Consider the following 14272-nt stretch of genomic DNA (forward strand, 5'->3'; position numbering starts at 1 on the left):
AACCCCTGTGTGTTTGCCTCACCATGTGCAAGATTCTCACACAATGTTTACACAGTGTTTACGTCTATTCTTCAAAGCAAAAGGAGTATTTATTAAGTAAAGTAAATATTCAAGTGAGATCTCAGAAGCACAAGATTTTTTATACTTTTACAAACAATGTGTTCTTTTTTTTTGGCTTTAAGGAAATTTGAAACCCATACATTTTAAACATTGTCTGCATTCAAAACCTGATCTCTCCTTTCACATTTGATCTTGGCTATTCCTAATCAACTTGCTGTATTTATTTCCAGAAAACACATTCTAAAATGATCTTAATTGGAACATGAACAGCCTTATGAATAATAAGAAACTGGAAAGAAAAGCAGATCAGGTTTGGATAAAATACAAAATTAAAAATAAGACCAGATGAACTATGAACAGTTTACTTTAAACAAATGTATTATTAAAGGAAATTGCTTAATATTCAAACTCATTAAATCAAGTTCAACAACTTTTTTTTCCTCTTTAAATAACTCCTTTCTGAATCAATGCAAACCACATTTGAGCTGTTTCATCAGAGCCTGTTTGATTTGTAAATACAAGGCAAAGGACTAAAAACAACAAAATATCCTATTAAACATCAAACTAATTGGCAAAATGACCTTTTAGCTCTTTCAACAGATTTAAAAATCTCAGCCAAGCATCTGAATTTATGGTAGTTTTATCTTTCATCACTATAGTCAGGTGACCTTCATCGCTATGCCCAGGATTCAGTTCTCTGTGGACTTCCAAAGTGTAAATCAGCCCTTGAACTTGATCGTGAAAGGAAATTTGACACAGAGTGTTATAGAGAGACTAAAATATGACTCTTTTATTGAAATGTTTACCCTGAAATGATATTTAATGCTTCTTCTTCCAATTACTCACATGTTAATTTCAACTTTGTTTCTCTGGCCTCCTTCTCTCTGCCCTTGAGTGACAGGTATATTAGCTAAGTTTGTCAGGCTAGTTGCCTGTCCCCCAAGAGAAAACCCAGGAAGAGCTGACCTCATGCTCACAGCATGCGGGGCCAACTCAGACTACTCTATCAGTCAGCGCCTGGGAAGGGCAAGCAGGGTCCCAGCTGCCTTCCTGAGTGAGCTTGATGATAAAGTTTATCCCATCAGGAATGAGAATATTGGTCAGAGTCCAGTTGCATGGCTTATGTTGAGAGTGAACTTTTCGACATTTCAAATCTGCCATATCAAATTAAGCAGAATAAAGCCGGCTGTTTGCCCGATTATTTATAACATCACAGGAAACTTAGAATGACTTATTAAAGAATGGAAATATTTCTCTTTCCTTAGAAATAAGCTTGCCACTGCCAAAATATACAGCAGCTGGCTGTGTATGGAAATGGTGCAAAAAGAGTTCCCAGTTCCAAGGTTATTAAAACATACCTGGGTTCATTTAGAGACCCAAACTCAGTGCGAGGATGAACAATCTGGTCACAGCCTGGGGTGCCACAATGAACTGCTTGGGTAGCCCTTGTTTCAAACACATAAGAAACAAAAGTAACAGGAACATTTGATTTTGCTGAGAATGTTGCTGACCATAGGCTTTGGCCAAAGGTGTTTATCACCTTAATAAGTCCCTAGGAATGCAGCTGAAAGGGTGACTTTGAAAGTGTCTGTAGCATTCCTGCTTAGTTACAAACTGCATCAAGAACAGAAATCACTGAGCAAAGCTAGCAATGAATTTCGGAGATATAAATACTGTATGTATGAGAATTTTTTGGATGTAATTTTACTACTTCATTACTGATAATGTGGGATCACTGTAAGTAATTTAAGAAAGTGAAAATATATGAAGCTTTTATTTACCCCAAATCTTACCATCCATTACTAACATTTTAGTATATTTCCTATCAGTCTTTTTTCTATGCAAAATTGTATTCATGTTCACAAAAATCTTGTGTGAGAAATTACATTTTTAAGTAACTTGTATTTTAACTAAACAAATATATATACACACACATACGCACATTACATATATAGGCACACACCTACACATGCACACACACACACACACAGCTATCTATGTCTGTCTATTTCTATCTATTTTATAATTGTAGTTATCTTTGGAAACCGGATGTTTGATAACAGCATTTTATTAAACCACTCGGATATTTCATGATTTATTGAAAATATCCTTTTTTGTCAGTTATTTATGCTGCTCACAATTACCCTTTATTGTTATTACAAACAATGCTACAATGAATATTCTCATATAAAAATTGTTCTTTTTATCTCTGAATACTGCTTTAGGGTAAATTATAAGAAGTTGATTTAATTGGGTCAAAGAAAATCAACACCTTTAGGATTCTTAATACGTATTGTCCAACTGCTTTCTATAAAGTTTGTACAAATTAACTCCTACATGGTTACCTTAATAGCAATTTTCATGGTTATGAATCAAGGTCCTATCCCATATTCTCCTTGAACTCTTTAAATACACTTTTTTTCCCTATCATCTTCTTTCTATGCAAGTGTCAACCAAGTTTGTGAGAAGAGTTGTTATTTCTCATTCAGTACTGATATAGGGGATGACAGTATAATGCACACGTATGCATAGTCACATACTTACCTATCCATTCATGTTCCTTTTGATCCCCAAAATGAGTTTTGATAGTTACAACACTTTCTAGTCTTTCTGATTATGTCATGATGTAATCATGGTGATTGTTTAAACATATACACATTTTAATTGGTACAATAAAACAATGCGCATGTTTATTATTTTGAGTACTTGCTGACATATGTAGCGTGCAGGTTGTGCTAAAAACATGTCAGTGTGTTGATGACTGCGAGTGATGTGTGACTCACTTTCTGTGTATAATCCTTACTGACACGTATATGCCTGCTCTAGCTAAGATGGATGGAAACCCTCATTACAACTGAACACCGTAGCAGTATCAGAAAAAAGGCAGAGGAGAGTTCAAGAAAATAAATAAATAAATAAATACATGAAATTTAAAAAATGAAACAGAAGGACACTGGAAGAAAATAAAAGAGGGCTGAAGTAAGGAGCCAGGGTAGCACACAGGTAGAAGGGATAAGTGAGGGAGGGGCCATTGTGCACTGCATGGTTCTTCCAGATATTTCTTTGAAATGAATTTGCCCTTACCTGTCTTTGCTCACCTACTTAAGTGAGTGATAGATTGCAGGCAAAAAAGAGACCATAATTATCCACTAGAATTAATTCTGAGTGCTTTTTAGGAGTCTTCTTTTTTTTCCCTTTAGCTCAGCCATATTTCTTCCAGGGAAGAAAGGAGGCATGCATGTTGGTTCAGCAGTATTTCCCAGCATAGCTTTTGGGACAATAGCAAAAAATAGATCTGAAGAATCAACTCTTGAACAGGTATTATTTTCTCTGGATTTTCAACACTTCTTTTATCATTCTTTTTTTTTTTTTTTTTGAAAAATTATAGTTGGAATGGAGACACCCTGTGTAGAGCATATTTAAGGCACATTAAGAATTATGATATGAAAAACGATTTTAAAGTTACTCAGAAATTTATCAAGTTTATTGCCTTTAGAAATAGCCCAACTTTAGGAAGGAGACTCTAGTTCTTTGGTTGTTGGAACAAAAGAGAAAAATCTATTATTTCATATTATATATGCATACACATAAATATACAATGAGTATATATAAAACATACACACATATATGCATACTTATATAAAATAGAAACATGATGTACATACATATACACACACATATATATTCATAACTCATTCACAGGTAACTTATATTTGTCTAGTAAAATCCAAGGATGTTTTGTTGTTAAAATATTCCTATTAAAGATTTACACATATGATTCTTTTTAAGTTCCAGGCATAGGCTTATAAAACACTATTGCCTTGTTTAATATTTTTCCACATTTTATATTAAAAGCTTGATTGCCTGGAAAATATTATGAGACAGAGTCATTGTAGAGCTAATATGAAGATTGCTGCTCATTTAGTATTTGAAAAAAGAATATCCACTATTAATTGAAAAGTCCCTTAAAATACATCTCTCTTTTTTAACTACATATTTGTATGAGACTACATTTTCTTTATGCATTTCAACCTAAGCAACATATAAAAACAGGTTAAGTGCAGAAGATTTGAGAACCCAGCTGTCTTTATTAAAACATACATTAAAGAAATTTGTAAAAATTTAATGAAAAACTATAAAGCAATTCTCACTAAATTATTTTTTGTATTGGAAAACATAATTTTTTATAAATCATGCATGAGATTTTATTCTTAAAACATCAGTCTTATTATTTTTAAATAAACTGTTTACAAAATGTTTACATTTTTATTTGTTTTTTCATTTTAATGTTTAATGTAGCAAGTATTGGTGGATTAGAGAAGCTTTTATTTCCTTAGACTTCTTATGTTTTAGAAAGGAGGGTTAAGTTAGATATATTTCTCAATATGAAACCTGAAGATGATGTATAATAGATCTATTTGAAGTGCTTGTTAAAATATAGATATCAAGACCTTTCCAAGACTCACCAAGTTAGACTCCGTGAGAGATGCCTTTCATAGAAGGAACCTTGGGGATTTTTCAAGTTCCATTGAAATTGGAGTGTTATCTATTAGATGGCCTCTGTTGATTTTGCTTCACTTTTGCTTTGCTCCAGGTGGGTAAACACCAAAATCCCTGAACCACCAGCTATTGCAAGGTAAACCTGGTGTTTGAATTACCTAGGCTTCAAGTCCCTTTTTATATATCTACATTTTAGGATTGGCAGAGAAAGTAGAAGATGCCCAACTAAATTTGAATTTCAGATAGAAAATAATTTCATAGTATAAGTATGTTACATGCTACACTTAGGACATGTATATGTTAAAGAATTAAATAATATATTCATCATTCATCATTTATCAAAATATTGGATCAACATATTTATACTAAAAATTATTCATTGTTTATCTGAAATTTAAATGTAACTGATTTGCCTGCTTTCTGTTTGTATGTTTTCTTTTGATAAATCTACCAGGTGCATCACATTTTATACAGTCTACCATTGCTTCCAGATGGTAATAGCCATAAAAAGATTAAGTGAGACAATATGGGCATGTCTAACCTTCAGGATTGATTAATTATATGAGCTTAGGTGGAGTCAGAGGGAGAAATGACAAAACCTGGACACTCTTGAAATCACAATTAAACGTTTATCCACAATCTAACCCTCTTTTTTTCTTTTCTTTTCTTTTTTTTTTTTTTTAATTTATTTTTGTTGCTGTTGTTGAGATGGAGTTTCACTCTTTCTGCCCAGGCTGGAGTGCAGTGGCGCGATCTTGGCTCACTGCAGCCTCAGCCTCCCAGTTTCAAGCAATTCTCCTGCCTCAGCCTCCTGAGTAGCTGGGATTACAGGCGCCTGCCACCATGCCTGGCTAATTTTTGTTTTTTTTTTTTTTTGGAGACCAGGTTTCACCATGTTGTCCGGGTTGGTCTAAAACTCCTGACCTTAGAAGGTCCACGCCCACTGGCCTCCCAAAGAGCTAGGATTACAGGCATGAGCCACTGTGCCCGGCCAATCTAACACTCTTATAGAATAAATCTCTCTAAACTTCCCTTAGAATTTCTTTCAAAAACGGTCTTTGTGAAACTCATGTGGCTGTGCTTTCAGTTACTGTTTATTTCATTTCAACGCAGCTTTTCTCACTGTAAATTCATCACCACATTGGAAGCAACGTCATTCCCAAAGCAACTGGTTGTAGAGTTTGCAGTTTTTATGTTTGTCGAAGCCTCTGTTCTATTATGTGAAAATTCAGCTCTGCTTTTAACTGCTCTTACATGTATGGTTCTAAGAATGTAAACATTCTTTAGCTTCTGCCTCCTTATTTTGTCTGTCTCTCCAGAAGGTCTATATGACCTCTTCATAGGCTGCTATATTTACTGGCTTCTTACCCATTTCTACCAACGCTGTTACCTCTCCTCTTCTAAAAATACAAACTTCCCTCTGAGCAATATTCTCCATTCAATCATCTTTTTAACCTTTTTAAATTCTAGTCCTTTCTGATTCTACTTGTTGCAGATACCAAGTCTGTTTCTTTTCTTCTTCTTCTTCTTTTTTTCCTAAAGAAAAATGATTATGTTTTTAAGTGAACGATCTGGAATAAGATAAATAAATATTTTAATATCAACAAACAAATAATATTTGCTTTTTCTAAAGATTTCAACTATAATTGAGCAACCTGTAAAAACTGTCTTTCATTTTTATTTTTTTAAAACAATTAGAGAGTAGTTTTTATTTTCTAATAGCTGGCATTCTCCTAAAATTATTTTCATAGTTTATTTCTACTTAGACAGTTGGCAGGACCAGGTTTTGACATATAATGTGAAGTTTGGTCTTTAGAGTCCAAATTGTTACAGGAAGTCAGGGACCCCAAATGGAGGGACTGGCTGGAGCCGTGGCAGAGGAATATAAATTGTGAAGATTTCATCTTAATATGGACATTTATTAGTTCTCAAATAATACTTTTATAATTTTTTATGCCTGTCTTTACTTTAATCTCTTAATCCTGTTATCTCCGTAAGCTGAGGATGTATGTCACCTCAGGACCACTGTGATAATTGTGTTAACTGTACAAATTGATTGTAAAACATGTGTGTTTGAACAATATGACATCAGTGTACCTTGAAAAAGAACAGAATAATAGTGATTTTTAGGGAACAAGGGAAGACAACCATAAGGTCTGACTGCCTGCGGGGTCAGGCAAAAAGAGCCATATTTTTCTTCTTGCAGAGACCCTATAAACAGATGTGCAAGTAGGAAACATATCGCTAAATTCTTTTCCTAGCAAGGAATATTAATATTAATATCCTGGGAAAAGAATGCATTCCTGGAGGAGGGTTTATGAATGGCTGCTCTGGGAATGTCTGTCTTGTGCAGTTGAGATAAGGACTAAGATAAGCCTTGGTCTCCTGCAGAACCCTCAGGCTTACTAGGGTTGGGAAAACTCAACCCTGGTAAATTTGTGGTCAGACCAGTTCTCTGCTCTTGAACCCTGTTTTCTGTTGTTTAAGATGTTTATCAAGACAATACGTGTACCACTGAACATAAACCATTAACCAGTAGTTCTGCTTTTACCCTTTGCCCTGTGATCTTTGTTGGGCTCTTATCAGTGGTTCTGCTTTTGCCCTTTGCCCTGTTCCCTCAGAAGCATATGATCTTGTTAGACCTTTATCAGTGGTTCTGCTTTTTGCTCTTTGAAGCATGTGATCTTTGTACCTACTCTCTGTTCTTACACCCCCTCCCCTTTTGAAACCATGAATAAAAACTTGCTGGTCTGAGACTCAGGTGGGCAACATGGTCCTACTGATATGTGGTGTTACCCCTGGAGGCCCAGCTGTAAAATTCCTCTCTTTGTACTGTCTCTCTTTATTTCTCAGCTGGCTGACACTTACAGAAAATAGAAAGAACCTACGTTGAAATATTGGGGGCAGGTTCCCCCAATACAAATGAGAAGCAAGATTCTGACTTCAAAAGCCAAAGTTCTATCTATGTTGAATAGAACATTCTCTTAAGTTCCAATGGATAAGTGTTTCTGTTCCCACTCAATTCAGCAACTTAGCCTAGAACTTAAATCCAGAAAATACCTTACTAGAAAAACTGAAATAAAATAACTTGAACTGGGGATATGTTTATGACAAGTGAATTGTTTCCAACTTTTTTTTTCAAGCCAATTAAATGACTACCTCTAAAAAATCCCTTGTAATATTTCCAAATATTTATTTTATTTTAGTTTAGTTTATTAAACTGATGGTTTCAACTAATGAAAAAACAAAATTGAGCTCTCAGAATCAACAAAGTTGCAAAAAGAAAAACTAAATGGCCATTTATATTTGTCTGTATTATGTAAGATGATTATCTAACTAAGCCATGTTATTTTCTCTAAAGCAGAAGATTTATTCTATTTTTTATTATTTACTGTCTAGGACATTCTGTCTATTCGTGTCTGCTGTCATCGACATTTACCTGATTACCATTTCAGACCCTGTAAAAACAATATTTTTGCCATGTTTATACTTTGCTATCCCTATGGTTTTTTATATTGTAAAAATAATATTATAAGAGTAGAAAAGTTTATTTTGAAAGAAAAGAAAATCCTAGTGTCATAGAACAAATCTGTATTTACTTATATTACCTTTAAATCACTTTTGTGAACAAATATGTAATGTTTGTCACAGTGTACATAGCATATATTCAGTGTTTACAATTTTTACTTTATACTATTGTTTTAATAATTTCATGAGAACATAATTGTGAATGGATTTAGCATATGCTTATCAAATAGGTACTTAAATTCATCTTTGAATCTGCAACTTCAAAAATCTTTCCTTTCCATGTTGTAAAGTACATAATATCTAATTAAGTTGATGCCTCAAAATTCATGCAGACACTTTCCTTGTAGTTTCTTTTCCTTCTGCTCTTTTAATCATTTTATTACAGATAATGATACAATAAATGTTAGCATTTTTTTGCTTTGCATGATTTTTTGGGGAACTGAGGTTTCTATATTGGATGATCTAAAGATTGGCCTATCAAAGATTACTCCAATTTTTACTGCCATCATCATGGTTAGAGCACATCCATACATCATTAAATCATCAGAATTGTTTCTTATTGAACTAAAATCTGGTGTAAAAAATAGCTGTAAAATATTATTTATTTTTATAAGTGTATATTTCTTTTATTTCTTACATTACTATGGAGGCCAAACCTTTTCCAAAATTTATGTGCTACTTATTTTTTATTGAATTTTTCAATGTCTGTTATCCATTTACACCTTTTTTTATTTTTTAAATTTAATTTATACAGTACCTGTATATAGTATACAGGTTTTCGAAAGGGGTAGAGAAATAATAAAAACTCAAATCAGTAAGAAAAGAAACAAACAACCCCATCAAAAAGTGGGCTAAGGACATAAATAGACAATTCTCAAAAGAAGATTTAGAAATGGCCAAGAAACATTAAAAAAAAATCCTCAACATCACTAATGATCTGGGAAATGCAAATCAAAACCACAACGCGATACCACCTTACTCCTTACTCCTTACACCTTACTCCTGCAAGAATGGCCATAATCAAAGAATCAAAAATAGTAGATGTTGGCATGGATGCAGCAATCAGGGAACACTTCTACACTGCTGGTGGGGATGTAAACTAGTATAGCCGCTATGGAAAACAGTGTGGAGATTCCTTGAAGAACTAGAAGTAGAACTACCACTTGATCCAGCAGTCTCACTACTGGGTATCTACCCAGAGGAAAAGAAGTCATTATTCGAAAAAGATACTTGCACACGCATATTTATAGCAGCACAATTCACAATTGCAAAATCATGGAACCAACCCAAATGCCATCAATCAACGAGTGGATAAAGAAACTGTGATATATATATATATCTATATGATATATATGATATCATATATATGACATATATATCATATATGATATATGATATACGATATGATATATATCATATATGATATATATATATATTAGAATACTACTCAGCCATACAAAGGAATAAATTAACAACATTTGCAATGGCCTGAATGAGATTGGAGACTGTTATTCTAAGTTAAGTAACTCAGGAATGGAAAACCAAACATTGTATGTTCTCACCGATACATGGGAGCTAAACTATGAGGACGCAAAAGCATAAGAATGATACAATGGACTTTGGGGACTTAGCAGGAAGAGTGGAAGGGGTGAGAGGGTTAAAAGACAACAAATATGGTGCAGCGTATATTGCTCAGGTGATGGGTGCACCAGGATCTCACAATTCACCAATGAAGAACTTACTCGTGTAACCAAATATCACCTGTACCCCAATAACTTAGGGAAAAATAAAATTAAAAAAATTAAAATTAAAAAAAGAAGATTGAGAGCAAAGAAAGCAAAAAATCTAAATGTTTTGCAGTTGGACACTCATTTTGGCCTAAAAATATTAACAATCACCTTAGCTTCAAAAAGGAAAAACAAATAAATGAAGGATTTTATAATTCTTTTGGTGGGAAGGTACAGTAGTGACATCTTTAGTAAAACAGCAAGTTTTAGATATTAACTTCTTCCTAGTCTTTCTTACTCTTTCTTCCCTGTCTCTATATTACTGTCAATTAAAATACCCAAAGATAATAGAAAATATACAAAATCTATTTTTGTATATTTTGTACATACAAAATCTATTTCAGATGATTATCAGTAAATGGCTGACCCCTGTTACTGAGAGAAAGGACTAGCTGGATTTCCTAGGCCAACTAAGAATCCCTAAGCCTAGCAGGGAAGGTGACCACATCCACCTTTAAACACGGGACTCGCAACTTAACTCACACCCGACCAATCAGGTAGGAAAGAGAGCTCACTAAAATGCTAATTAGGGAAAAACAGGAGGTAAAGAAATAGCCAATCATCTATTGCCTGAGAGCACAGCAGGAGGGACAATGATCAGGATATAAACCCAGGCATCCGAATAGGCAAGGGCTACCCTCTTTGGGTCCCCTCCCTTTGTATGGGAGCTCTGTCTTCACTCTATTAAATCTTGCAACTGTGCTCTCTTTTGGTCCGTGTTTGTTATGGTTCCAGCTGAGCTTTTGCTCGCCATCCACCACTGCTGTTTGCGCAGTGGCAGACCCACCGCTGACTTCCATCCCTCTGGATCCGGCAGGGTGTCTGCTGTGCTCCTGATCCAGTGAGGCGCCCAGTGCCACTCCCGATCAGGCTAAAGGCTTGCCATTGTTCCTGCATGGCTAAGTGCCCGGATTCATCCTTACGGAGCTGAACACTAGTCACTGGGTTCCACGGTTCTCTTCTGTGACCCACGGCTTCTAATAGAGCTATAACACTCACCGTGTGGCCCAAGATTCCATTCCTTGGAATCTGTGAGGCCAAGAGGCCCAGGTCAGAGAACAGGAGGCTTGCCACCATCTTGGAAGCGGCCCACCACCATTTTTGGAAGTGGCCCGCCACCATCTTGGGAGCTCTGGGAGCAAGGACCACCCGGTAACATTACCTCTGCCTAGATGTTGGGGTGGAAGGAGAGAGAGAGATTAAAGCCTAAATATCTAATGATGGGATTCAGGGAACACAACCCCAAAATATGCCACCTCAGTATATTGAAAATCAGCAGAAGCCAGACAGTCTCCATAATCTTCCCCTGCCCTTCTTCCCTGAAGTAGGTCATAAAACCTAGGAAGGATTTTCTAATCTTCCCCTGGAGACAGGTCATGAGACCCTCATATAAGACCCTCATATGAGACGGTCACATATACCGCACACGATACCTAGAGGAAGGGAATATCTTTATCTCTGAAGACAAAAGGTCACAGCGAAGATTCTGGACTAACAGGCCTTGCTAAGTTTCCCTCAGTAATGACCATCAACTTAAACCCGCTTTGTTCTTTCACATTTCTCCATGACTGTCCTGTCCACTCTTCATCAAACCTGACATGGAAATACAGAGGTTTAGCCGTTTCCTCAGGTCTTCATTTCTTTATGAAGGTGTTCATGTCACATCAAATTTATTAAATAAATTTGTATGTTTTTCTTTATTAATTGATTTTTTGCTATAGTGAGCTTAGCCATAAACCCAGGGTAGTTAGAGAAAGAGATTTTTTTCCTCTCGTATACTTACAAGTGAGCTTAAGGACATAATAGTAGCTTAACTGTTTTGAACAGAGAGAATATGATGAGTTATGCCACCAAAAGGATTGTAGGTATTTCAAGAAATACTATATTACCATCCCAAGCATTACCTAATAAATAATTAGCATATGTATGATTCATACTCACAATCAATCCATTTGTGTATTAATAGTTCATTCTGTACTCCTGCATATGAAAACGGGGAAGTAGAATGTGGATTCTTCCTGTTTTGTTGAGTATAGGAGAGGAAAAAAAAAAATTACTTATCTTAGACTCTCTAGATGGGTCTCAATAAATTAGACGGGCCAAAGACAGGTTAATGAGAGAAAAAACATGTTTACTAACATGTGCATTGCACATATACACACGGGGGCACCCAGTGAAGCGAAAACCAGTGGGGTGGTTAGAACCTGGGTTTACATATCATCTTAGGCTAAAACAAAGGAAAAGGAGTTTGGGATTTCTGGAAGGGAGAGGCAAGTTATGAGAAGGTGACCAGGAAAAGTGGAAATCTGCATATGGTTTGTTTTGCAGATTTAAGTCTGTGCCTTATCTATTGATGAGTTGTTAAAAATTCTTCTCTTCCTGGCATGAGAGAGAAGTATCTCTACAAATAAAAATGTCCTTTACAAAAGGAAAACTTGTATCTCTACAAACGAAAATTTCTTTTACAAAAGGAAAACTTGTGCCCTAATTTTAAGGCTTTTCCTTCATCTGCTGGTTCTCTCTGGTTTTTAACTCAAAATAATCCGTATGCTAAAGAGGCATATTTGGGGGTAGCAAATTCCGATACGCTTCATGACTTTTAACCAGATATGGCAAGTGAAGTACAACAGCTGCACTTTCCAATATCTGTTTGGTCCATTAAATAAAAACAGCAGCATTCAGTGAAATACATTTATTTAAGATGGAGGGGGAATTGTTTGCAAAATAGGGTGTAAAACTTTATTTAAAAGCCATTTCTACTCATAGTATTTTCTCTGTGTACTATAACAGAGTTATAGTGCAGTAATGGTTTGCTTATGGGCAACAATTAAGCACCTGCAGTCACTCCACAGGATGTAGATTTCACATGAATAGCTATTTTATATATATAAACAAATAAAAACGTGTACATGTAATTGCAAAGGTAATTGCTTGAACTTAAAGTTTGAAAAAGACAGTTTCATCTCTTTTTGAAAAGCTGTTTGTTTCCATACATGTAATCCAATTAAACATGTTTTTGATTCCTAGAAAAATAAATAATAATATATTTATTATTCTTTCAGTTCTCTACAACAATTCCACCATCATGAAGCTATTTATGAGTAATAATCATACAAGTGACAGTACTAAGGTAAATACATGAGCAAGTCACAGGTGGGAGTTTACTTTTTGTCATTTATCCATTGTCATAGTTTTGATGATCTATACTGGGAGAGCAAGACTACTGCCTCAGCCACTGTCTCATGTCCTCTGGATCTTGAATTATTCCTTGTTTTTACATGTCTTCTATGTCATGAGAAGCTATTTGCAATTTATTCCAATTTAGAAACAACTGATATTCTGATATCGAATTTCAGTATTGCCATATACCAGTTAAATGACCCTAAATAAGCCTGAATTTCTTTATGTGAAAATGGGGCTTGAAATAATAATCATTGCTCAGGTGGGTATGCAGAACCTCCCCCTGGAAGCAATGAATCTCACAAGGAGGAGCTTCCCTCTAAAATTCGTACCTACTGCTTCAAGATTCATAGCATTAGCAATGAACTGCCTTCACACTGTAGCCTCCTGGGGGTGCTCCTTCTTCATCTGTACCCTGTACCCAAAGTGACTGGACCTCAACTTTCTGTAGCAAAGCTAGGCAACCAGGCTGAAAGTTACAAGTGGTTTCATCAGAACCTGTGGATAACAAAAGGAAATTAGTTCATAGGGTGTATGGTGCAATCTTGTAAGTTTTTTGAAGAGCCGAATGGTGCAAGGAGAGAAGATTACGTAAATTAAAACAGTGAAAGATAAAGGACAATGATGATTTCCTTAATTTAAAAAACATGAAATAGACTTGAAGGCATGTTAAGGTGTCCAAGTTGTGTTATTTGGACAGTTCTGATTTTATGCAAACAGTGCATTAAAATGAGACTGAACTTTTAGATGAGAGAATTGTAAAGCAGTTAAAAGGGCCTAGATTTTGACAACAATCGTATCTGAACTTGAATATTTGATTCACTATTAACTTTGACACTTTGGTGAAATTATGTAGCCTCTCAACTGTCTTCATCAGTTTAAAAAAAATGAAAGATAATGATAGTACCTACTTCAGAGTCTTTGGAACAGCAACCAAATACCTAGTACATTATCTGGGATGTAATTAACATCTAATATTGAGGGCAGGATATGAAGTTGAGAGCATACCAGAGGGATGAAATTGATGGTCTCTGGAAAGACAGGCAGTGGTTTCTAAAGATACATTTATAGTAACTCAAGGAAGAAATCAAATCAGACCATATTCTTCCTAAAGGTTTGGAATGCTCTTAAGTCTACTCAACTTTCCCCAAAGATATTTAAGAAAGTCTACTGAAGGAAACTTTTCTGAATTCTTCGATCTTGGTTAAAAAATTCTC

The sequence above is a fragment of the Homo sapiens genome, chromosome 14, assembly GCF_000001405.40.
Source record: "Homo sapiens chromosome 14, GRCh38.p14 Primary Assembly".
In the NCBI taxonomy this organism is placed as follows: Eukaryota; Metazoa; Chordata; class Mammalia; order Primates; family Hominidae; genus Homo; species Homo sapiens.